Source organism: Homo sapiens, chromosome 2 (genome assembly GCF_000001405.40).
Source record: "Homo sapiens chromosome 2, GRCh38.p14 Primary Assembly".
NCBI lineage: Eukaryota > Metazoa > Chordata > Mammalia > Primates > Hominidae > Homo > Homo sapiens.
Genome location: NC_000002.12, coordinates 63,488,524 through 63,515,820, shown reverse-complemented (window position 1 = coordinate 63,515,820; position 27,297 = coordinate 63,488,524). Strand labels below are relative to the sequence as shown.

Genomic DNA, 27,297 nt, shown 5'->3' with positions numbered 1-27,297 from the left:
CTCGAACTCCTGGCCTCAAGTGATCTGCCTGCCTCGGCCTCCCGAAGTGCTGGGATTATAGGCGTGAGCCACTGTGCCCAGCGGTGATTATAGAATCTAAATGAGAAAATGCATGTAAAGCATTCAACACATAGTAGGGGCTCTATAAATAACTGAGAAGAGAACTTTCTCCTTGATCAAACATAAAATGGTAACATTAAAAGTTTTGGCGATTTTCCAAATTTGCCAAGATTTAGAAACAAATAAATGCAATCTCTAAAGGCAAATTGCACTTTTCCTAGCACAATCAGTTATTTAAATTATAAGTGAGAGGTTAACAACACCTCACACAAATGCAGTTTTTAGGAATTGACCATTTCTTTGTAACAGCATTCAACCTTTTATTGAGCATCTTTAATAGAAAGTACTTTTGAGTGTGCCACATATTGGATAACGTGCAAGTCACACAATGAAGTTTATATTTGAGATAACTAAATCATGTTCAGATATCAATTTTGTAAATTAGGCACTTTACGTAAGTCTAAATTGGAGTGTTCATCAAAAGAGAATGTATAGTTATCAGTGCTTGTGCCAAATCTACCACACACTCATATGTATTAAGCTGTACCAGAAGAAATTAATACTCCTCTGGTATAGCTTACTGTAAAGCTTTTAATTTATAAATATATTAAAATATTTTACAGTTAAAATATGTATATCATCTAATTTTCATTAGAAAATAACTGACAAACAGTATTTATTACCTATTGAAAAAATGGCAAACTGTCCTTTGAATACCTAGACATCTTCTCATTGGCTGGAACCAACTGTGATGATTTACAGACACACAGCTGCAGCCTGAATTGGCACCAAAACCAATTACTGATGCTGTGTTATTTGCAGCCCTGGCCCTGGCTAATTTTTCTTGAAAGGAGGGTATGGGAAGAGAGGTTGCAAATACAGGAGTGGCAAGAATAATTGATAGTTCATATCTATTCTGTCTTAAAATATAAACCCTCCCTTTGTCTTGAGAATCCTCTAGCTATCACTCTCTCTCTATCCACATCTGTGGCTTCAATTGCAGGGTTGGCTCCTAAACCCGTATTTTCATTCCAGATCTAACTCCTGAGCTCTATATCTGTATTTAGGTGTTTAACGTCTATCTAGAGCTATAACTTAGCCTGCCATTCTACAGAGCATGTAACTCCTAAATAATAAATGCTAACTGTGGGCAGCCCAGCAGTTTTGTACCTATTTTTAAGTGCCAGGTGACATCATGGAATGTTGCAAAGCCAAAGTGCTGAATTATCCTGGAAAAATTCCTGGTTGCACTTCTAATAGAAAATATTCTTTCATGGAAAGTGCCTGTCAAGGTAATATGATTAGCTGTATCAATGGTGCAACCCATGTAGTTAAACGGACCATCAGTTTGAAGGAAGGATAAGGGATGCTCACCAAGACATTAAAGGCATTAGCACAGGAGAGGGCAAAGCACCTGGGATGAGGCATTTACTCAGTGTTCACTGCTATTCCCATCTTCTAATGTGTTCTGAGTGAACTTGGTAGGAGGTGGGGCACTTAAAAAAATCCATATAGCCCATATATATAGTATAAAAGGCCAAAGAGTTCTACAAGGCTCATTACTAGCAACAGCATTCATCTTTCCCAGCTCTCTCCAGAGGCAACCAATTTTAATTCTTCAGTTATTTCTTCTGGTATTTGCTTCCATGTTTATAAACAACATGCATATACTTATTTCATCATTTTTAAAATTTTAATTTTTAACCGATTACCTTCTTACTTTGAAAGAAGAGAACTTAACTCTGGAGAGAGAGCAAGGGGTGATACTTTTCCTCACCCATTATAAGAGTTATAGCCAACACTCCTTTAACAAAGGACAGGTAAACAAGAGAAAAGCACAGTAAATTTATTTAACCAAAAGTCTTATGTGACACAAGAGCTTTCAGAAATGAAGACCTAAGGATCCAGGGAAAACTGTCTATTTTCATGCTTAGGTTCAATGAAGAATGGACAGTTGTGTAGAAATGTGACTGGACATAGTGGGGAATAATGGTAATAGACTGAGAGGGGAAACCCAGCAAGGCTTGTCTGTTCAGATTTATCTTGGCCTCTCTGTGTAGCATTCCTTCCTTAGAAGTATGGGGCAGGACCCCTGTGGAATGAGGGTCTTCAAGAGAGAAAGGAGATAGTAACCTTTCTAGGTTTTATGGCTTGCTTTGAGGCAGAGGAGTTCTAGTGTCTATGACACTTGAGGAAGAGGAATTCTGGTTTCCGTGAATCACTTTTGGGGGAAAAAGAGGAGGGAGACAGGAGAGCAGTAGAACGTCTGAGATACCTTGCTTCAGAGACCTTCAAATCCCCTTTAAAGTGCTCAGCATGCCAGAGTGCCATACTCTGGGGTCTAGTGGTCTGAGCCTCAACAACCCCTACTTCAGCACTCATCCTCTCCCCAACATACTTCCTTTCTCCCCTCCAACATGGTTATGCCACCATTTTTGGTTAATCAATATTGTATGTTTACATTTTTCTAACGATGTAAATATTCAAAGCAAAGCCCATATAATCATGTAGCATACTATATTTTTTGTACAACTTTTTTCTCTGCAGTAAATAATTGCCTTTACTTTTTAAATGTGCTTTTTTAATAGACCTATTATTTCTTCATTCCCAACTTCCCCAGAAGTGTAAGTCTTCTTTAAGTAAGTTCAGAAGCCTCAGGCCTCTATTACTCTGTAAATTTTATTTTTCCTTGAAGCTATCCCTCTGAAACTTCTTTGCTCTCCTGCTTAAACCTGAATTTACTGTCTTCCTCATGAGACACAGATATCCTTGTAGGATTTCCTTTCATCATTATTCTGGAAATTCTTTTTTCTTTGTTCTTGTGTTGAATCCCTTATTTCCTGGATTCTTTTTTTTTTTAATTTTTAAAAATTATACTTTAAGTTCTGGGATACATGTGCAGAACGTGCGGTTTGTTACATAGGTATACATGTGCCATGGTGGTTTGCTGAACCCATCAACCCATCATCTACATTAGGTATTTCTCCTAATGCTATCCCTCCCCTTGCCCCCCAACTCCCAACAGGCCCCAGTGTGTGACGTTCCCCTCCCTGTGCCCATATGTTCTCATTGTTCAACTCCTACTTACGAGTGAGAACATGAGGTGTTTGGTTTTCTTTTGCTGTGTTAGTTTGCTGAGAATGATGGTTTCCAGTTTCATCTATGCCCCTGCAAAGGACATAAACTCATTAGTTTTTTATGGCTGCATAATATTCCATGGTATATATGTGCCACATTTTCTTCATCCAGTCTAACATTGATGGGCATTTGTGTTGGTTCCAAGTCTTTGTTATTGTGAATAGTGCTGCAATAAACATAGATGTGCATATGTCTTTATAGTAGAATGATTTATAATCCTTTGGGTATATATCCAGTAATGGGATTGCTGGATCACATGGTATTTCTAGTTCTAGATCCTTGAGGAATCGCCACACTGTCTGACACAGTGACTGAACTAATTTACACTCCCACCAACAGTGTAAAAGCGTTCCTGTTTCTCCACATACTCTCTAGTATCTGTTGTTTCCTGACTTTTTAATGATTGCTATCCTAACTGGCGTAAGATAGTATCTCATTGTGGTTTTGATTTGCATTTGTTTGATAACCAGTGATGATGAGCTTTTTTTCATATGTTTGTTGGCTGCATAAATGTCTTCTTTTGAAAAGTGTCTGTTTATATCATTTGCCCACTTTTTGATGGGGTTACTTTTTTCTTGTAAATTTAAGTTCTTTGTAGATTCTGGATATTAGCCCTTTGTCAGATGGATAGATTGCAAAAATTTTCCCCCATTCTGTAGGTTGCCTGTTCACTCTGATGATAGTTTCTTTTGCTATGCAGAAGCTCTTTAGTTTAATTAGATCCCATTTGTCAATTTTGACTTTTGTTGCAATTGCTTGTAGTGTTTTAGTCATGAAGTCTTTGCCCATGCCTATGTCCTGAATGGTATTGCCTATGTTTTCTTCTAGGGTTTTCATAGTTTTAGGTCTTACGTTTAAATCTTTAATCCATCATGAGTTAATTTTTGTATAAGGTGTAAGGAAGTGGTCCAGTTTCAGTTTTCTGCATATGGCTAGCCAGTTTTCCCAGCACCATTTATTAAATAGGGAATCCTTTCCCCATTGCTTGTTTTTGTCAGGTTTGTCAAAGACCAGATGGTTGTAGATGTGTAGTATTATTTCTGAGGCCTCTGTTCTGTTCCATAGGTCTATATATCTGCTTTGGTACCAGTACCATGCTGTTTTGGTTATTGCAGCCTTGTAGTATAGTTTGAAGTCAGGTAGCATGATGCCTTCAGCTTTGTTCTTTTTGCTTAGGATTGTCTTGGCTCTACGGGCTCTTTTTTGGTTCCATATGAAATTTAAAGTAGTAGTTTTCTAATTCTGTGAAGAAAGTCAATGGTAGCTTGATGGGAATACCATTGAATCTATAAATTACTTTGGGAAGTATGGCCATTTTCATGATATTGATTCTTTCCATCCATGAGCATGGAATGTTTTTCCATTTGTTTGTGTCCTCTCTGATTTCCTTGAGCAGTGATTTGTAGTTCTTCTTGAAGAGGTCCTTCACATTCCTTGTAAGTTGTATTCCCAGGTATTTTATTCTCTTTGTAGCAATTGTGAATGGGGGTTTGCTCATGATTTGGCTGTTTGTCTATTACTGTTGCATAGGAATGCTTGTGACTTTTGCACATTGATTTTGTATCCTGAGACTTTGCTGAAGTTGCTTATCAGCTTAAGGAGATTTTGGGCTGAGATGATGGGGTTTTATTTATTTATCTATTTTTTGAGACGGTGTCTTGCTCTGTCATCCAGGCTGGAGTGTAGTGGCTTGATCTCAGCTCACTGTAACCTCCACCTCTCAGGTTCATGCCATTCTCCTACCTCAGCCTCCCAAGTAGCTGGGACTACAGGCACCCGCCACCACGCCTGGTGAATTTTTTTTGGTATTTTTTAGTAGAGACAGGGTTTGCCATGTTGGCCAGGCTGGTCTTGAGTACCTGAACTTGTGATCTGCCTGCTTTGGGCTCCCAACCTGTTGGGATTACAGGCGTGAGCCACCATGCCAAGCCAGATGATGGGGTTTTCTAAATATACAATCATGTCATCTGCAAACAGAGATAATTTGATTTCCTCTCTTCCTATTTGAATACGCTTTATTTCTTTCTTTTTCCTGATAGCCCTGGCCAGAACTTCCAATACTGTGTTGAATAGGAGTGGTGAGAGAGGGCATCCTTGTCTTGTGCCGGTTTTCAAAGGGAATGCATCCAGCTTTTGCCCATTCAGTATGATACTGGTTGTGGATTTGTCATAAATAGCTCTTGTTATTTTGAGATGTGTTTCACCAATACCTAGTTTATTAAGTGTTCTTAGCGTGGAGGAGTGTTGAATTTTATCAAAGGCCTTTTCTGCATCTATTGAGATAATTATGTGGTTTTTGTCATTGGTTTTGTTTATGTGATGAATTATGCTTATTGATTTGTGTATGTTGAACCAGGCTTGCATCCCAGGGAGGAAGCCGACTTGATCGTGGTGGATAATCTTTTTAATGTGCTGCTGGATTCGGTTTGCCAGTATTTGTATAAGGATTTTTGCATTGATGTTCATCAGAGATATTGGCCTGAAATTTTCTTTTTTTGTTGTGTCTCTGCCAGGTTTTCGTATGAGGATGATGCTGGCCTCATAAAATGAGAGGGAGGAGTTGCTTTTTTTTTCTGTTGTTTGGAATAGTTTCAGAAGGAATGGTACCAGCTCCTCTTTGTACCTCTGGTAGAATTCGGCTGTGAATCCATCTGGTCCTTGGCTTTTTTTGGTTGGTAGACTATATATTACTGCCTCAATTTCAGAACTTGTTTTTGGTCTGTTCAGGGATTCAACTTCTTCCTGGTTTAGTCTTGGGAGGGTATATGTGTCTAGGAATTTATCCATTTCTTCTAGATTTTCTAGTTTATTTGTGTAGAGGTGTTTATAGTATTCTCTGATGGTAGTTTGTATTTCTGTGGGATCAGTAGTGATCTTCCCTTTATCTTTTTTTATTGTGTCTATTTGATTCTTCTCTCTTTTCTCCTTTATTATTCTGGCTAGTGGTCTATCTATTTTGTTACTGCTTTCAAAAAAACCAGCTCCTGGATTCACTGATTTTTTGAAGGGTTTTTTGTGTCTCTATCTCCTTCAATTCTGCTCTGATCTTAGTTATTTCTTGTCTTCTGTTAGCTTTTGAATTTGTTTGCTCTTCTCTAATTATTTTAATTGTGATGTTAGGGTGTCAGTTTTCGATCTTTCCTGCTTTCTCTTGTGGGCATGTAGTGCTATAAATTTTCCTCTAAACACTGGTTTAGCTGTGTCCCAGAGATTCTGGTACATTGCATCTTTGTTCTTACTGGTTTCAAAGAACTTATTTATTTCTGCCTTAATTTTGTTATTTACCCAGTAGACATTCAGGAGCAGGTTGTTCAGTTTCCATGTAGTTGTGCGGTTTTGAGTGAGTTTCTTAATCCTGAGTTCTAATTTGATTGCATTGTGGTCTGATAAACTGTTTGTTTTGATTTCCATTCTTTTGCATTTGCTGAGGAGTGTTTTACTTCCAATTATGTGGTTAATTTTAGAATAAGGGCTATGTGGTGCTGAGAAGAATGTGTATTCTGTTGACTTGGGGTGGAGAGTTCTGTAGATGTCTATTAGGTCCGCTTGGTCCAGAGGTGAGTTCAAGTCCTGTATATCCTTGTTAATTTTCTGTCTTGTTGATGTGCCTAATATTGACAGTGGGATGTTAAAGTCTCCCACTATGATTGTGTGGGAGTCTAAGTCTCTTTGTAGGTCTCTAAGAACTTGCTTTATAAATCTGAGTGCTCCTGTACTGGGTGCATATATATTTAGGATAGTTAGCTCTTCTTGATGAATTCAACCCTTTACCATTATGTAATGCCCTTCTTTGTCTTTTTTGATCTTTGTTGGTTTAAAGTCTGTTTTGTCAGAGACTAGGATTGCAACCCCTGCTTTTTTTGCTTTCCATTTGCTTGGTAAATATTCCTGCATCCCTTTATTTTGAGCCTATGTGTGTCTTTGCATGTGAGATGGGTCTCCTGAACACAGCACACTGATGGGTCCTGTCTCTATTCAGTTTGCCAGTCTGTGCCCTTTAATTGGAGCATTTGGCCAGTTTACAGTTAAGGGTAATATTGTTATGTGTGAATTTGATCCTGTCATTATGATGTTAGCTGGTTATTTTGCCCATTAGTTGATGCAGTTTCTTGATAGTGTCAATGGTCTCTAGATTTTGCTTTGTTTTTGCAGTGGCTGGTACTGGTTTTTCCTTTCCATATTTAGTGCTTCCTTCAGGAGCTCTTGTAAGGTGGGCCTGGTGGTGACACAATCCCTCAGCATTTGCTTGTCTATAAAGGATTTTATTTCTCCTTCACTTATGAAGCTTAGTTTGGTTGCATATGAAATTCTGGGTTGAAAATTCTTTTCTTTAAGATAGTTGATTATTAGCCCCCAATCTCTTCTGGCTTGTAGGATTTCTGCAGAGAGATCCGCTGTTAGCCTGATAGGCTTTCCTTTGTGGGTAACCCGACCTTTCTGTTTGGCTTCCCTTAACGTTTTTTCCCTCATTTCAACCTTGGTGAATCTGACGATCATTTGTCTTGGGGTTGCTCTTCTCGAGGAGCATCTTTGTGGTGTTCTCTGTATTTCTTGAATTTGAATGTTGGCCTGTCTTGATAGGTTAGGGAAATTCTCCTGGATAATACCCTGAAGAGTGTTTTCCAACTTGCTCCCATTCTCCCCATCACTTTCAGGTACACCAATCAAATGTAGGCTTGGTCTTTTCACATAGTCCCATATTTCTTGCAGGCTTTGTTCGTTCCTTTTCATTCTTTTTTCTCTAATCTTGTCTTCACACTTTATTTCATTAAGTTGATCTTCAATCTCTGATATCCTTTCTTCCACTTGACCAATTTGGCTATTTATACTTGTGTATGCTTCATGAAGTTCTCGTGCTGTGTTTTTCAGCTCCATCAGGTCATTTATGTTCTTCTCTAAACTGGTTATTCTAGTTAGCAATTCCTCTAACCTTTTTTCAAGGTTTTTAGCTTCCTTGCATTGTGTTAGAACATGCCCCTTTAGCTCGGTGGAGTTTGTTAGTACCCACCTTCTGAAACCTATTTCTGTCAGTTTGTCAGACTAATTCTCCATCCAGTTTTGTTCCCTTCCTGGATTCTATATCATCCGCCTTCTTGGGTTTATTTCATCCTTTGGTGTGACACATCCTCCAGTAACTTCCTTAAAAATAATACATGATTGTTAATTTTTGAGACTTTGGTCCTCTGAATGTTTTTTTCTAACCTCACACTCAAGTGACAATTTGGCTAGATATAGAATTATAGGTAGGAAATAATTTTCTTTCAGAATTTGAAAGCACAACTCCTTTGTCTTCTAACAACTCCCAGTGTTGCGATTGAGAAAGTCTGTTGCCCTGATCCTTTTTATGTGACCTATTTTTTTTTTCCTTCTCTGCAAACTTTTACTATATTTTATTTATCTCCAGTATTTTGAGATTTCACAATAATATGCACAGGGATTGTATCTTTTGTAATTCATTGTATTGGGTACTTAGTGATTTCTTTCAACAGAGAAAATCATGTACTTCAGTTCTGGGGAATTTTCTTGCATTATTTCTTCATAATTTATTTCCTTCCATTGTCTCTGTTTTTTGTCTTAGTCTGATGTCTGACTAAGAATCACTGTGACTGATCACCCAAACTCCTTCTCTCTCTCTCTTTCTCTGTACGTTTCTTTTTTTCTTCTGGGAGACTTCTTCAAAAGTATCTTTCAAGTCTTCTTTTGTCTGTTTTTGTTTTGGCTCTCATATTTTTATTTCCAGGAGTTCCTTTTCTCCCTGTTTTCAGCATAGCCTTCTCACTCTCAGCAATGTTTTACTTCTAAAGATGCTCTGATATAACCTCTCACGAGTCCATTTTCAATTTTCTTCTGTGGTAGGGAGAGATCATTGGCCAACTGTGTTGGCAGGGAAGAGCACCTAGAATTCTAAGTATTATATCCACAGACTTTCAAACAGTTCTCTTGTTTTCAGTTCTAAGCAAAGCCATTTCTTCAGAAGTACTTGGTGCTTCCAGTTTCTGAGCTTTTCTAGGGTTCCAGTACGTGTGCTTTTTGACTTCCTCCACCCCGCCATTGGTACTTGCTTTCTGCTTTCTCAGATCTATTGTCAGTTATCTCTTGCCCATCTGCTTTTTACCCTCCAAAATTTTTATGACATCTGTTTTGTGGTTATCTTGCCACTAGTTCCTTTGCCTTTTTTTTTTCTCCTTTATCATTTTTGTGAGAGTTTGGGAGGGAGTGCAAATAACTACATGTGCTCAATCCCCCATCTTTTCTTGGATGGTCCTCTGTGTAGGACTTTGTATATGTTGCCAAGTTATTTGGAGCCGGTCTTGCTGCCAAAGGAAATCAAGCATTGGCATATACCATGTTTCCTTGCTTCTAATCTACTATTGGTTGTAAGGTACTGTTCATTTAGGTGCAAGTTTGATGAAAAAAAGCAACACTATATTAAATGTACACCTTGATTATAAGATACATAAAATTTCAGAAACTATCAAATGTGAATTACAGTGACTTTAGAATTAGTAAATTTGTGTGGATCACATGCTTGATATTCATTTTCTTTAAGGAAGTTTCAGGTTCTGAAAATGAATATATGATTTCTATTTTTATTGCGATAGAGATTTTGTTAAATGCTAGAAATTTTAACTCTCTTCTTTGTACTAAATTCCTGGACATGGTTCTGTTTTATTTGCCATACTCTGATGTAATTGTATTCATTATTTTTCTCCTCCATCCCAAGCTCCCCACTAAGTTTTGATATCCTCAAGAACAAGTTCTTTGGTTTGTTAACTTCATATTGTGAATGCCTAGCATGGTGCCACTCAGTGGTTGCACTTAGTAGATGCTTTGTAAATGTAGGTTGAATCATACTAAAAATAATTAGAAGATAAAATGATATCCAGTGAAACTCCTTTTTTTCAGGTAGGTATTTTTGAGATCAGACTCATTATTTTAAGGATATTGAATGTTCATGAAAGAGAAGCACATTTATTGAACAGTTATTTGCCACAAATTTTCAAATATGTTTTTCCATTTACTCTTCTATGTCTTAATATAGAATTAAAAAAGCATAGGAAACATTTTTTATTAATCTGTAACTTGTTTGGGCTTTAGGGCAAAACATGGTCATAATCTAGAATCTTCCTTATTTTATTCTACTGATTTTTAAATATCAGGTAATAATTTCCTACTATATTAGGGAATTAACATTTTAAGCTGTGATGATGTATGCCTGTGTTAAATATAGTACGGCGAAATTGATCTCTTCTCAGGGGACCTTGGTGGTTTATTCACAGGCTTTCATTTCAATAAGAAAAGGCTGTTCTTTCCTAAGTTATCTACTTTGGTTCTCTATTCAACCATTGAAACAAAATACTAAAAATTTTATGTAAGTACGAACACTGTGACAAACCGTTAGTAAAGTTGAAAGCAAACAATCAGGGAAGAAAGAGTATGAAGGAAGATCCAATTACAATATTAAAGAATTCACTGCAGAATTCTTATAAATTGTGACTATTTAGGGCTTGTTTACATTTCATTAAGAACTTGTCATAAAGACTAAGGGGCTGAGAACTTAATGGGTGCCACTACCAAATAAGGGTAGTCAAAATAGAAATAAAGCTTCTGTGATGTAACACAATAACTTAACAGGAAGACCTTAATTTATTGACCAATCGGCCATAAATATTAATAATTCATATTGGAGCTTACTTTTATATCATCTGTGAAGTTTGCTAAGCAATAGTGGGAAGATTCTTTAGGGCATAAGAAATATCAAATTTAATCTGATATTTAGATACATCAATTTACTTATAAACTATTGATATACTAATTTAAAACACTCCTTAGTCATTCAGTTAACTTTCTCCAAGAGCTTTCTAAGCAAAGTAAATTAAAGTAAAAGTTGGTCAGAAGATAGTTTCCATCCATATCCCTTTCCATGGATTAATTATACAAGTCTAAACTGACATTTGTCTCAGGGGTCAAAAGGCTCCATTTAGCACAGCATTTAGGCAGAGGGAGAGAGAGTTGAAAGAGCACTGCACAGATAATTTGTGGACAGAAATTTTAGTCCTAATTGTTCCTCTAATGAGATGATTGAATTTGTGCAAATTACTTTACCCTCATAGATTTCAGTTTCCATATTTATAAATTAAGGGGTTTAGGGTCTCTCAGAGTTGATTTATGGGAGAGGAGATACATGGACTCTGGAGAAACTGCTATTCCCTGCCCAGAAAAATATTTTTAAGAATATGTGAATAAAATACATCACACACACACACACACACACACACACACACACACACACACACAATTTAGTACGTAATTTCAGAAGGCTCTTGTGAGGATTAAATGAAATAATGAATATAAAGTGCATTTAGTAGGTATTTTAAAATGTTACCCACGTTTCTATTCCCCATGTTAGGAGGGTTCTTTAGCTTCTAAGTTTTTCTAGAAGCCATAGAAAAAAGGTTTTCAGGTCTCTTTTGGAAAAGAAATATTTAAAAGTATACAACTATCAAGTTGCATGAGATATTTCACTTTTTATAAGAAGCCATTTCTTTCAGCAGTTACTAGAGTTTGTTTTTCAGAGGAGTGGGTAGCAATCTGTCATCAAAGTGTTGACAAGTGAAATCTGACAAGGTAGAGGTGGTATAGCTGCGGGCCACTCCAAAATTTTCCACTATCTTTTCTATTTGTAGATAAAGGATTTCTGTTTTTTTTTTTTTTCATTTGAGCTCACTTCATAGCAGTCTTTGATTTCTAACCTTTTCAAAACAATAACCCTGAATTGACAAATTATTTTGGTATTTAAGCATTGGTTTAGATAAGAGCATTTCAGTGTTCTCTTGCCTTTATTTTAGCTATTTAGGAGTTATTCCTGAAATTCAATTTATTTTCTCTTCAAAGTTACGTTTTTTCAATTTATTCAAGTATGGCATAAAATTATATTTATAGAGTTTTAATCTAGAATTAATTATCATTGTTACATTGCTAACATTTCTGTTTTCCTTGTCCTTTTATTGTTGTGGTTGAGGTACATCCTAAAAAGAATGAAGTTCATATTTTTGAAGATCAGAAAAGTAGGTATCTGTGTTGAGTGGAGGTGGTGAGAGGTGATGATGATGATGATTATTATTTGCTTATGCAGGCATACCTCCCCCCAATGCCTGATATAAACTATTGCAATTATTTTTTGAGGTCATGGAAAAAATGCACTTCAACTAGATACAAGTCTCTTTGGGATAATGGAAAATTGTGTGCAGCAAAATATTTAAAATGAGCATTAGCAAACAAGATGTTTGTATTAATAGGAACCTAGAAAATGACTATGCAAAGGTCAGCACCGATCTTTAAATATTAGTGAAATTTAATTTGTTGCATGTAATGAGTAGAAAGAAGAGGAAGCAGACCACAATGAAGAAGCCATTGATAAATTGTCTAAATGTCAAAACTGCTTATAATACGGAAAATGTTAAATTGACAAGATCTATTTAACTAAGTGAATTAAACCGTTTGAACAATGCCCTAGAGAAATATTTTCCAAATTTAACTAAAACAAAAGATTTTAAAAGATTTTTGCCACAATTCTTTGATGAAAGTGAAGGGATTCCTACTTTTCTTTCGAGGCATAGAATTTGTTCTAACCTCTTTTAGTAAGAACGGTGCACAGATTATCTTGGAACATAGAAATCTGTCACCTTTTGCTTCATGTTGAAATAGCATCATCTGACCAGTGGTTAGCAGCTGTGAAGAACCACAGTCTGGCTGGGGTCTAAATCTCTTTGGCACTTTGCACAGCACTAGCTTAATTGAGTTTAAAGAGCTTTTTATGTTATGCCCAGTTTTTTTTTTTTTAAATCAGATTCTACATTCTCTTATTTTCTTCATATATGTTAGTGAAAAAAATTTTAAATGACTAAACATGCACAAACTTCATAACAAAGGATTAATATTATTCATACACACATAGGGATAAAGAACTTAATAGAAAGATGAGCAAAATATAGGAACAGGTAATTTATAGAGGGAACAAATTGTTTTAAAAATCCATGAAAAGATGTTTGGTTTCATTAATGAATGGAAAAATGAAACTTAAAATTACAAGATAAATTTTCACCTACCAGGTTGGCAACAACTTAAAACTTGGATAATGCTGCATGCTGTTGAGGATATAGGAAAAAGTACAGTCATGTTTTGGGTGGAAATGTAAATTTACCAATCATTTTGGAGGCTAATTTGGCAATACCTATCAAAATGTAAAGTGTGTATGTATATTTTCATGGTTATATTATTTGTAAGGTAAAAATTAGAAACAGATGGTTATTTATTAAGAGAATGGATAAGTCAATTATGGTCACTATTCAATTGAACATATTGTGGCTATTAAAACATCAGGTAGATCTATCTGTTTATGCTAACAGAGTATCCATGATGTGGTGTTCAGTGAACAAAGCAAGTTGTATATATAGTAAAATTTTATCTTTATAAAAACACAAAATGAACAAGTCAGTATGGGTGTGCACGTGTTGTAAGTACATTTAGAAAGTCTGGAAGGCCGCATGCCACACTGTGCAATGGCTTCCTTCAGAGTGAGGAGGGCAGCTTGGAGGAGAACACATTAATTTTTACATCAAATACTTCTGTATGTTTGCATTTTTTAAAAAACAATAAGTATGTGTTGCTTTTGTAATTTTAAAACCTGAGAAGAAACAAAAGACCAGTCAGGCACGGTGGCTCACACCTGGAATCCCAGCACTTTGGGAAGCTGAGGCCAGTGGATTACCTGAGGTCAGGAGTTCGAGACCAGCCTGGCCAACATGGTGAAATGCTGTCTCTATTAAAAATACAAAATTAACCTTATGTGGTGGCTCACGCCTGTAATCCCAGATACTTGGGAGACTGAGGCAGGAGAATTGCCTGAATCCGGGAGGTGGAAGTTGCAGTGAGCTGAGATCGCGCCGCTGCACTCCCGCCTGGCTGACAAGAGTGAAACTCCATCTCCAAAAAAGAAAGAAACAAACAAAGGACCAGACAGAGGCCTAATGCATTTAAAAGTTTTTTGTTTTTTTGAAACTTGGTCTTGCTCTGTCATCTAGGCTGGAGTGCAGTGGCAGGACCATAGCTCATTGCACTCTCCAACTCCTGGTCTTGAGCCATCCTCCTCTGTCAGCCTCCTGAGTAGCTAGGAGTACAGGCAGGTGCCACCACACCTGCCTAATTTTTATTTATTTTTTGTAGAGACAGGGTCTGACTATGTTGCCCAGGCTGATCTTGAACTCCTGACTTAGAGCAATCCTTCTACCTCGGCCTCCTAAAGTCCTTGGATTATAGATGTAAGCCTCTGCACCTGGCTTTCTCTCTTCATTTTTTGCACACTTTTAGGTTCTAAAGCTTGTTTTAAAAATAGGGACTTAGATAGTATTTTGAACATAATGCTTTGTGCTTTTTGCATTTTGCTTCTATTTAGTTGCTTAGTGTTTTTGGTAAATCTGAAATTTTATAATTAAAAATACTACCTTTGGTATTTATTGAATACTTGCAGTGGGTGCTCATTTTCAAATAAATATGTCCTGAATACTTACATTTAATATTTAGGTTGAAAAAGTGTCCTAGGCTTCTGAACTGATTTAGAACTTTATATGCCATGAGATGACAGTTGTAAAATAGATCTAGATACACATTCAATAATAAATTTAATATTAACATTAGAAGCTAAATGTCACTAAGGGAGCTAGAACATTTATTTGATAACTGCTATTTGCCTAAACTTAAAGGATAACATTTTTAGTATTATAGACAATTAGTTATGTAATACTCACTAATAATGCTCAGCACTTTTAATCTTCAAAGCATTATACACACTAGTTAATCCTTACAACACCGTTACAAATGTAGGTCAATATCATTATCCCTGTTTTTGCAGGTGGGGAAATTGAGGCAGAGGTTAAATGATTTGGAGTAAGTTTGTCATAGCAGGATTAGAATGAAGGCATTTTTGGCTTACAGCCCAGCATTCAGAACAGTAGAACCACACCTTTAGCAGACTTAACCTCTATGTACTTGATAAAACATTACTTCTCATTAAATCATATTGAGGTCATCTCTGCATTAAAATTCAGAACCAACAAGTTTGATCACTGTATAACCACTTTACACACACACACACACACACACACACACCCCCACACCATTTTCTCTTTCAAGGCTTTCTTGACACTATATTATCTTAGTCTGTCTTTTAAATTGACTCTTTATTGGAGAATTACCAGACTATCTATCTTTGACTTTATTTTTCTTCTGTGATCTTACTCAATGGCTTTACTCTCTATTTAGAAAATTCCAAAGTAGTTTTTATGTAGTCCAGGCCTCTCTTCTGTATTTCTAGCTACCAGCTAGACATATCTACCCAGAGCATTTCCTTGTACCTTTATCTCCCACTGAGTCTAAAATTCAACTTATTAACAAAACTTGCTCTTCTTCTAGACTAACCTGTTTCTATGTGTGTTTCAATCCAAGTCCTGCCCTTGAAACTAGGATCAACTAGGTGGGAACAAGTCTGGGTAAGGGGTTCCTGGGAACTTGATGTGGCCAAGAAGAACAGTATTCATGGGTCCTTTGACAGGATGAAGAAGTTGAATCACAGTTTAAGAAGAAGAGCCAGAGTTACAAACTGAGGGGCAAGGCAGAAGTAAAACAGGAGACCACGTAGCCAGGTTAGTAGCTAGGAACATTGATGTGTGTGGGTTCAGTAGTTGAGGCAGTCATTGTGAACAGATGGAATGCACTGGTACCCATTTACTGGGCACATGATGATGCAGGCATGCCTGTTCAGTGACGGCATGGTCAAGGCAAGGGTCACTATATGAGCAGTAACCAGATCCCCATCCATTGATGGTCACTCCAGATTCTTCTCTCTTACTCCCTTACACTGTCTCTTACAAATCATCAGTGCCCATATGCTGTCGATTCTTTCTTTACAAGATCACTTACATCCCTTTCTTTTGTTATATTCCAGCTGCCACCACCCCAATTCAGGTCCTTGTTACTGAATATTAGTGTTGTCTGTTCCTTTAATACCTTTCTAACAGGTCACTCATATCAAACTTTCCTTCACTCCTCCAATATTTTACCCACCAGTTAATCTTCCAACAATAATTCTGATCTATTAATTATTCTTTTTAAAAATACCTTCCCAGATCAGAAACTTCATTGTTCCTAATTAGCTACCTAGCAAATACAAAGTCCTAATTCCTGAGCTTGGCAAAGACTTCCTTATTATGGCTCTGATTTATCTCTTCTACCTGTGCATCAAACCAGATTGCTTATTATTCCTCAAATAAGCCTTGCATCTTTCTAATTTATTCTTTTGGGTATTGTTCCCTCCTTTTTATCTATTTCCCTCTAGCAAAATCTGACAATCCTCAAATGCCCTTTGAACCCCCCTAGCCCATTGTGTATGTTACCATATTAGCACTTACTACACACTTCGTATTGTTTTTGTGATTATTTTATCTGCTACCCTGATTATATGGTGTTTGATAGTAGAGGCCCATTCTATAAAACTTTGTATCTATGACTCAGTAAACATATACATAAAGTGCTCAAATTGTGATATTTAATTGGTATTTAGATCTCATAAGGCCCTGTGAGGTACAAATGAGCCATTGTTTCTAGTACTCCATTCTTTGGGTACAATAGGTTAGTCCAAGCTTGAGGTCTCCTTATTTACCTTAGGTTCTTTGCAGTCTTCTGCTCATATACCTCCATGTTAAATGTCTTATGGATGCCATGCTATCATTTATCCTTATTATAACTACAGCAATGTCTTCTATTTCTTAATTCTTTCTTTGCTATCATGTTTCACATTTGGGTTTTCTTTGCCCTCAAGCTTCCTGTCCTTCCCATGGCTACCAAAATAGCTGACTTAAGAAACCGGGGAACTGCATAGCATACTTTACCCGGGCAGAGTACAGGTATTTTGCAGATTTATTCAGTGGCAAGTAATCTCTACTTCTAAAACATTTATTTTTCAAAAGGAGATTATCAACAGTATAGTAGTGAAACTATTTCTATTTTGCATGTTACTTTCTCAAAATTTAGTCTATATGGTAAAATTATTCTTAAGACAAATAAATATTAATTTACTCTAGTGTAACCCAAATTGGAGTGAAGGTATTAAAAATTGAAATTTTTTAAGGATGTAAGTATAAAGTGAAAAGGGGCTTTCTAGAATTCTTACATCTCTGTCCTCAAAATTTGGGCAATCATAGATTGTCCCCTGTATAAAAAAGAGCAGTCATTCTAAATGTATGTGAAGCTCAATTTAAATCATGCTGTTTATTGTCTCATGTAGGAAGCTTGGATTCAAAATGGCCTTCTGAGACTGTCATCAATGCCTTATGTAATTAAAGAGGAAATTGTAAAAGTTAGAAAGGTGTTTAAAAATAAATGAAGTTACATTATGGGTGATTTTTTGTTTGGGTTTTTCATTCTACTATTTTCATTTGGATAATTCTTTTTCTGATTCAATATTTAATAGTTGGACAACTTGCTATATATTTTATTCTTTCATTCTTTCATTAATTTCTCCCAGTACAGCTACTTTTATTACAGTTCTATGCCATGTGCATTGGGTTATATTGCTCAGGGAAATGTACAAGGGCACTGAGTGGGGCAGCATTGCTCAGCTTACTTTGGTAGATGCCCCCTGACTATTTCACTACCTTTTTAATCCCTGCCCGCACCCCCTTCTGAAAATGCAGAATCCAGCATTCTTCTGACATTCTTTTCTTCTCTCCTTCAAAACAACTATTTATGCATGAATACAATATTTGAATAATACAAGCTCAGTCTTGACTACTTCCTCCAGGCGTATTTTTCAAACCAGGAAATTACCAGCATTCTTTTTAACTGGTGGCACACTTGAGTAAGATTCAAGATGTTTAGAGCTCTTTAAAAAACTTGTGTCTTTCAGAAAACCTGCATGACATATAATGCTTGAAGACTAAAAAGGATGTTGATTTGGTCCTCTCCCACCTTGCCCATCTAGTTATTATTAAAGATTTTTACAAACTTGTTTTATTTACTCCATTGATTTTCTTTAGTTTTACCTGGTTTTCTTGGCAGATAGTTGAAGTTAAGGAAAAAAGAAGGATGAATAACCCACATTTGACTATCTTCCTCCCGCTCCCCTGTTAATGCATGACCACTTGCAAAGCCCCCTCCTTAATCACACAGATCTTGGGGAATCCACAAGAGTTTTGACATTTTGTTCACAAACCAGTCCAGTTATCTACTAATGGACATTGGCCATTTTCTTCTCATTGATGTACCCAATACTTGCTAATTATTGCTGCTGTTTCTTCAGATGATACAGGGCACTCCTTGACCACCCATGTCTGCTTTTGCTGGATACAGATTCTGCTTTGTCTGTATACCACCACATTCACCATTCCTGCTTACTTTCTGCTGCACACCACTTCCTGCAGCCACTTCTCCATTCTTTTTTTTTTTTTTTTTTTTTGAGATGGAGTCTCACTCTGTCACCTAGGCTGGAGTGCAGTGGCATGATCTTGACTCACTGCAACCTTCGCCTCCTGGGTTCCAGAGATTCTCCTGCCTCAGCTTCCCAAGTAGCTGGGATTACAGGTGCATTCCACCATGCCCAGCTAATTTTTGTATTTTTAGTAGAGATGGGGTTTTGCCATGAAGGCCAGGCTGGTCTCGAACTCTTGGTCTCAAGTGATCCGCCTGCCTCAGCCTCCCAAAGTGCTGGGATTACAGGTGTGAGCCACTGCGCCTGGCCTGCTTCCCCATCCTTATATGATAGATTCCCTGTGGGGCCACAAAAGGGTCATTTTTAAAGTAGGAGAAGAATGTCTCTCTCCTTCTTTTGTCCTGTGCTTTTTAATGGGAAACTAGAGCAGTGTTGTTTGTACATCAGAGCATTTTGAGAAATACCTTGTACATTTTTCTCAGTCCTCCCACCACCATTGGTCCTAGATATGGATCGTTTGGTGCTGAGCTGGAAGACAAGTCCAGGTCATAGACTCTATACTGTACTATGCTCAGGATTTCCCATGTTCAAATGTAGAGAATTAATGGTTTGACTCTTGGCTTTGAAGCTCTTCACAGATCTCATTTTGCTTATTCTCCTTGAAACACTGTAATTTTTGATTAATTTAGGACTTTCAAACTTAGTGAAGATATGGGGAGTGGACCTATCAGTTTTTCAAGTAAAAGGTGTTTTTCTGCCTCGTAGAAATAGTCAGTGTAGACTATAGTGGAAACTACACTACACTCTCCAGTTCTGTTATCAGGAGGAAGTTTTGACAAATTATTACTAAATTGACTTAAACTGAAATACAGAATTTCAAGTGTTGTCTTCTTTTGATATGTAAGTAAAGGTGCAGTCTTTTGGTTTCATCTATAAAATTTTATCTGTATTTAATTTACATAAGACATTTTTATATAGCAACAAACAGCTAAACTTCAGCCTTGTCTTATGCAGATTGTCATAAATTAGTATTACTGGTATCTGAATAAAAACTAAATTGAAGAATATGATTTTTATTTTTCTAGTATAGTCTAGAAGTTGGTGACTTTTGATGCTCAATGTCAGAGGAAGTATACACCTGTTTTACCATCTCTTTTCTTTCTTACTTGCAATGGAATATTAACCAATTTGCATGTCCTAATTCAAATACCTTCTCTTGTGTAGTAACTTCTCCACTTCTGGATGTTTTTCCTTCATAAACCTCCTGTTGTGCTTAGTACTTATTTATTTCATACTGTGAGATTACCATATAAGGTCAGAGATCATATTTATTATTTTATTTTTTTCCATACAAATTTGCGTAGTGATGGATATACTGAGTAATAGCAAGCAGCAACTGCAGTGTTAAGGTAATTGAGTAAGTGTACCTTGAAAGCAGTCCTGATGTAGGTACTTTATTATACCCATTTTATAGCTGGGGACTCTTAGAAATAGAGAAGTTAGGTAATTAGTCCAAGTTAGCTACTAAGCTGAGAAATTAGAAAAGAGGCAGGCAGATTCTAGAATGCACACATTAAGCTAAATAGATGCAAAATAAATATTTAATTCACTAACTGATATTTTAAAACAAACATTCCAGTCCTCACATTTCCATATGAAAAGTCTGCAGTTTACTTATTCTAATACAGTAAGTATTTTAGTTAAGAAAAAAACTTAACTGTAAGATGACAATTCTAAAATAAGCCTCATAAAACTAACTGAAAGCAATTCCAAAGAACACTGCATTGGAAACATTTTGAGTAATAGTAGGCTTACTAGAGTCACTTCCAAAGTGATAATACTGAAAGATAATACTCAGTTGAACTGAAAAATTAGTAACTAGTTTAATATCCCTTTTTCTCTACTGCTTGCTGATAATGAACTGCATTCTTTCTCTTAGTAATGCATTCCACTAGCTTTCCAACTTCATACCTGTATACAATGGCAGCCAGCATCTAGGCACAGCAGGGCAGATCTGGGGATTGAGGGGTTCCTTATTTCATCTCTTAGCTTTAAAGGCATTTAATGCACGGAAGAAAGTAAATTCAGATCAACCCAAAATTTACTATTGTAGCCTGTTTCCTCCTTACCCTTTCCTACTTCACCTATCACTATCCACTGTGCACTTTAATCTACTGTCATACTTGGGTCATGCCATCTTTTTTTTTTTTTTTTTTTTTGAGACGGAGTCTCGCTCTGTCGCCCAGGCTGGAGTGCAGTGGCGCGATCTCGGCTCACTGCAAGCTCCGCCTCCCGCGTTCACGCCATTCTCCTGCCTCAGCCTCCCGAGTAGGTGGGACTACAGGCGCCCGCCACCACGCCCGGCTAATTTTTTGTATTTTTAGTAGAGACGAGGTTTCACCGTGTTAGCCAGGATGGTCTCGATCTCCTGACCTTGTGATCCCCCCGCCTCGGCCTCCCAAAGTACTGGGATTACAGGCATGAGCCACCGCGCCTGGCCGGGTCATGCCATCTTTTTACTCAAACATCTGTATATACTCCCTCCCACAACTCTGCCTACCCCAATACGGTAGAGTACTGTGGTTGCAAACAGACTCCGGAGCTAGTCTGTGTAGATCCAAAGCCTGCCTCCACCACCTGCTAGCTATGTGACCACTCTGTGCCTAAGTTTCCTCATTACAGGAATGCTGATGGTATTACCTCAAAGAGTAGCTATGAGGATTAAGAGAGTTAATACATGTAAAATGTTTGGAACAAGTAAGTGTTATCTGTTGTTATCACCATCATTTTCTTCCTCATCTTTTTCTCCATCATCATCATCATCGTCATCATCATTGTCGTCGTCGTCGTCATCATCATCATCATCATCATCTGGTGAAATCTTATCCTTCTTTGAGGACCCACTAACGTTTCACAACTTGTCTGAGCTTTCTCACAGCCCAGCTGTTCAGGCAGGATTGGGCCCCTCTTGTGTGCTGCCACATTTTTCACTCTGCCATTTCAGTCCGTAGCATACTATATCTCATTAGTTCAACATGCATCTGTTTCTTGATTGTAAGTGCATTGAGGTCAAATAAATGTAAGGATGAAGGGCGGGCCGAGGAAGTTTGTACTATGTCTGAAATTATTTTAGATTATCACCCATATGGATACTATGGGAAATATTTTTAGTCACTCCTAATGTTAAAGAAGCTGAAGGATTTTTCCTCCATTAAAATATGTCTTAAAATATTTTTCAAACTTTGTCATTCGGAAGTTTACTGGAAAGAACATTTCTTTCCTGATTCTATAAAGAAAATGTCCATAGTTTAAATTATTGTATATATTTCTAATATGTAGTATAACATAAATACAGTATAGTACTATGTTTATTTCCAAGCAAACATTTGAAAATTATATAAATTCCTTTCAAACTTTTGTAAAATGTTGACCTTTTTTCTAATGCAGACTAGCCTTCTCCCAATCAGTCTAAATCGATGAGGTAGTACTTGATTAAAAAAAAAAAGTATTCATAGTGTCCATCCCTAGCCCCTGCTAGGGGGAAGACAGGATGTATATTATTACCATTTTGTTTTTTCAAAAAAAAAAACCCCATAGAATAAAATATCTGGATCCATCATGACATGCAGATTAACATACTAAGTTGAATGCTAATGTGGTTTCAGAGTTTACTTTTAAGTAATTATGTTTCTTATAATAGTATAATAGTAACTATATACCATTTACCTTGCAAATTCCACTTTAATTAGCCTGTTTGTATGTAGGATATTGTAAATATTTGCTTTATATACCAAAAATGCACCACAAAATGTGCTCGTACTTAATAACTACCAACAGATGTTTCCTTTCCTTAAAATAAAACTTAAAAAAATGCTTAAATACTAAATAATTCTAAATATACTCAGAGCCTTAACCAAACATATGCTATTGAAAACCCAAATACTATATATATTCTTCTTACCACATTTCTCAATGTGATGACATACTAAATCCAGGAAAAGAAGTGTATTTTTCCTCTTTCTAGAGTTTATTTCTGGATGGTTAACCAAGGATACACTAGAGTATGTTTATTCTAATGGGCCATATTTCAAATAACAGTTGTGGCGAATGATTCTTTTTACTATTTCTAAGGTATCTTGGTTTTATTGGCAATAGAAGATAATTAATTGGCACCTCTTTTTAATTATTTTTTAAACAGGATAGAGATTCCTTCTGCCATCAGATGTCTTTCTGCTTGACTGAACTGCACCTGTGGTCTTTGAAGAATACCTTACACATTGCGGGTAAATGAGCTCTGGATTAATTTCAATATTTTTCAAATATGTTACACCATTATAAATAAGTACTAGCAAAGGTTAGAGCCTGAATTCTCCAGCTGGAGTTGCATTCTTTCTTTATTCTTAATGAAAAATTGGTTAATGGAAAATAATTCCTTTTAATTACTCTTACTAACAATATTTACAGCTTGAGTTAGGTTTTCAGTTTTGAAAATTAATCTTATTGGCTTAATATTTGTTCTCTCTTAAGATACACACGAGCCTAGGAGGTTGACGCTGCAGTGAGCCAAGATCGTGTCACTATGCTCTAGCCCAGGTGACAGAGCGAGACCCTGCCTCTAAAATAATAAATAAATAATAAAATTTATTGAATGGTAAAAAAAAAAGATACATATTCAATTTTTTTTCTGGGATTCTTCATAATAAGATTTATATTCATAAATATTTACAGGATAGCTAATGGTAAAGGCATTTCTATTTGATATTAAAATAACATTTCAAACATATAGGTAAGATGTACGATTATTTTCATGTTCTTTGTTTTTCACAATTTTGGGGGGGGAGAATAATATGTGTGTTTTAACAATGCTTATTAACATACGATACAGTGTACTTTATAAGAAATATCTTTAAAAAATCTTTATACGAAGTAACACTTGTATTTAGGAGAAGAATATTATTTATATCTTTTAAGCATCATTACTAAGAAAATGATTTACCTTACAAAGTATTGTTTCTTCATATTAAATATAGAATTAAGGATGACTTTGATATTTTCATCAAGTTTATCTGCTTTAAAATGTATAAAGATTGAAATTTCAGTTAAAGTAGATTTAACATTTGTTTGCTCCCTCCTAAAACTCTTCTAAGATGCCAATAAAGGAATAAAAATAAAGAAGGTATAAACCCTTTCGACAGAGGGGACAACTGAAATTGGACAAATTTTGGAAGATGGGAGGGAAAGAGGAATTAGCAGAGATGAAAAACCTGAATATAAATTGCCTGCAGAGGAGAGTTCCAATGACAGCCAATTTATGACTCAAAATTCTGGAAAGATACAGAAATTTGAGGAGCCAGATATTGTAGAAGATGGTATGTGTCATCAGAGTGACAGTAAAGGGACATGAAAGTTTGCAGAAAAAGTTGTGAGATACCTTTCATGCTGTGGAAATATTTAATTAAGGAGGCTCTAAAGTTGGGAACACCAGGGGCAGTAGAAGACGACCTGCTGAACTGAAAACAGGCACGAAATGGAAGGAAGCCTACATACTGATGGGTGAGGTCTTCTTAATCCCACTTGGTTCTGAGAATGTCATACCTATTTGTACACTTTCCAAGAAAGAAGGAGCTTGAGATATTCCTCTCTGGAATGACTGCAAGACCCGAGAAAGAAGACCTAGTATATAGACGTTTGAGGGAGTCCTTTGGTGAAATACCCCAGTCCTTGGCTGATCAGTGAAGCCCACCAGTTGGCAAGCTCTATGTGTGTACACAGGGCTTCCAATCAGTTTTTTAGTGCCTCACTTGTAAATACAAACAGAGAACTAAGGATCACTAGATATTTGAGGAATATCTTCAACAGGAAAGAAAACAAAATGAATAGGTGAATGGGTCTCTGAAGAAACAGAGATAATGTAGGAAGGGGGGAAAAAAGTACAACAGAGACCTAAGGAAAAATACTAAATCCATGAAGCAAGAAACAAAAACAGAAGCTTCAGAAAACATTTGAAGTTATACAGGTCTCTTGGAAATTAAAAATATGTTGCAGAAAAAATTCAAAATTCAAAAGTGTAAAAGAAATCTCAGAAAATAGAAAAAAGAAATCCCAAAGTGAACTTATTTTACTGCTGGTCAAAATTTTTAATTGAAATGTTTTCTTCTTTAATCATAATTGCCCATTTTTCATATTATTCCCTTATTCTCATATAACTAGGTTTTATGCTTCTTTGAGATGGTCAACCTTTTAATCACTTGACATTCTCCTAGTCCATTGGGTCTTCTTCACTTATCTTCCTACCCAGCTTGGACCCCATGGTTGGAAGTCTGAGCTATTCCATCTTGATCCCCTTTTACCCCTTGTCCTCTGTTCATGCCCAGCAAATTCCTTCCCTGTCCCTCCATGTGTCCTCAAGTTTTCTGTCCCTGTTCCTTCTATTCTGAGTCAGTGAATGGTTTTTAGAGAAGAATCACACAGTGGTGCACAGTAGCCCCATGAGAATAGTCTTCAACCCCAACTGCATTTTTGCAGGGCCTACCCATTCTCTCTATTGGGACATTCTTCTATTTAACCTTTTATGAATCCTACTTCTTTAGGGCTCGGCTTTATTAAGTCACTTAGAGAAGCCTTTCCTGCTATCTAGACTAAATTAGTAACCCTGTTAATGTGCTCTCATTATGCTTGATGTTTATTTTTTAAATGTTTGAAATAATCACAAACTTATAGAAAAATTGTCAGTACAGAGAATTTTTTTTCTTGAACCGTTTGAGAGTTGTAGCCTGATGCTTTATCACCTCCAAATACATTCATGTATATGTCCTACAAAAAGGATTTTGTCCTGCATTACTGTATAAGCCATTGAAATCAGGAAATTAACAATGATGTACTTCAGTCTAAATGGACCAGTTTACCAATTGTCCCATCATTGTTCTTTTTTTAGGAAAAGGATTTTTGTTCACAGTAACATATTGCATTGTTATGTTTCTTTAGTGTCCTTCATTCTGGGTTATTCTTCATCCTCCGCCTTTTTTTTTTTTTTTACATTTTCATGACCTTAATATTTTTGAAGATATTAGGTGAGTTATTGTGTAGGATGATTGTAAATTTGGTTATATTTGAAATTTCCTCACAATTAGATTCAGGTTATGCATTTCAATGCATCCTATCAGGTGGTGCATAATTTCAATTTGTCCCTTTCCTGATGATATTCATGATTACCTGATAAGATAGTGTCTGCTCGGCTTCTCCACTGCAAAGTTACTTTCTTCTTTGTGATTAGTAAGTATTTCATAGGGAAATACCTTGAAATTATGTAAATATCCTGTTCCTCATGCTTTAAATATATTATTATATATGATCAATTTATTTTATCTCTGTGGACTCAAGTTTTCCACTTTATGGAGTTGTTATAGTCATATCATTATTTTATTTCATTATGTATTTTGATGTTTAAATTGTCCCTGATGTGGCCAGAGGGACCCTCTTCAAGCTGGCTTCTGTGTCTTTTTGACATGTCCCTGTCAAAATCTGAGCACTTTAATTCTTTCTGGTACAACAAATGTTCCAGACTCATGTTGTAATTTCCTTTCCCTAGCCTAGGAATCAGTCACTCTTCTAAGGAGCTTTGTTCCTTTTAGAGGGCAAGGGTTCTAGAAGCCAAGTTCTGCTTTAGGTGCACTCATTATTGGAACATTGCTGCTCCCAGGCCCTCTCAGTGGACAGAGCTTGCAGAATGTATGTATCTATGTATACACACATATTTACATCCATATTTATTTCTGTATCTATCTCTCTATATTGAAACCATGAGTTTACATTGGTACATCTCATTCCTATCTACCACCATAGGGTTCATTCTAATTTTCTCCCTTTCCATATTTGTATTTTTCTTCTCAGACAGTGGGAAACCTGGAGCTCCCCTATTTTTTATTTATTGACTTATCAGTCACCCTGTTTGCAGTCAATCCCCTATCTCTGTGGCTACTCCTTCCCTGTATAGATACCCTTCTCACCCCATGTGGGATTTGATATACCATGTTGGGTTGCCCCCATATGTAAATGTCCTCCTTACCTTGTTTAGCCTCTAATACCCTACACCAGGCTGTTGCTTCATGTGAGTGTTCTTACCCTGCTGGAGTTCTAACACACCATGTCAGGCTGACTCTCTGAATGGACACCTTCCCCATCCAGCTCTGGTACCCACTGTAGGGCAGGTTTTCTTAACTGGATGCTCTCCTTATTCTGCTTGTGTTTTGACAGTTTCCACTCTGGGCCAGATGCAGTAGGTCAGACTTGTGCACATAATTCAGGATTCTTTATGATCTTCATAGTTCTATTCTAGAGTTATGATATATATTTGGATGTATGGAATGATGAGTATAATTATAGGGTGGAATATTTTAATGGAGATATTGTCTGCATATGTAGTGCCTGTGGTTCTTAGATTTTTTAAAAAAGCCTTTTTATTGAAGTATAATATATGTACTGAAAAGTGTAAAGATCATAAGATTATGTTGTGAACCATCAGAATATGAAAACACCCATAAAATCACCATCCAGGACAACAAATAAAATATCAGTATCCAAGAAGTCCTACTCATGATTTTTCGCAATAAATCCTT

General features: G+C 36.5%; 1 protein-coding gene across 21 annotated transcripts in view; it reads left to right on the top strand.

Moving 5' to 3' along the window:
- WDPCP (WD repeat containing planar cell polarity effector) overlaps positions 1 to 27,297 on the top strand; it is a 721,268-nt gene that overhangs the window by 325,006 nt on the left and 368,965 nt on the right. For 20 of the 21 annotated variants that reach the window (NR_148705.2, NR_148704.2, XR_007076380.1 and 17 more), the window contains one exon: positions 22,881 to 22,965. Coding sequence is in view for 17 of the 21 variants with exons in the window: in XM_047444629.1 (XP_047300585.1) it covers positions 22,881 to 22,965 (85 nt within the window). In the remaining 4 variants the exon portion in view is untranslated. Of the gene's footprint in view, positions 1 to 14,488; positions 15,900 to 22,880; positions 22,966 to 27,297 lie in introns of those variants that run through there. The other variant, XM_047444630.1, reaches the window with a different exon arrangement.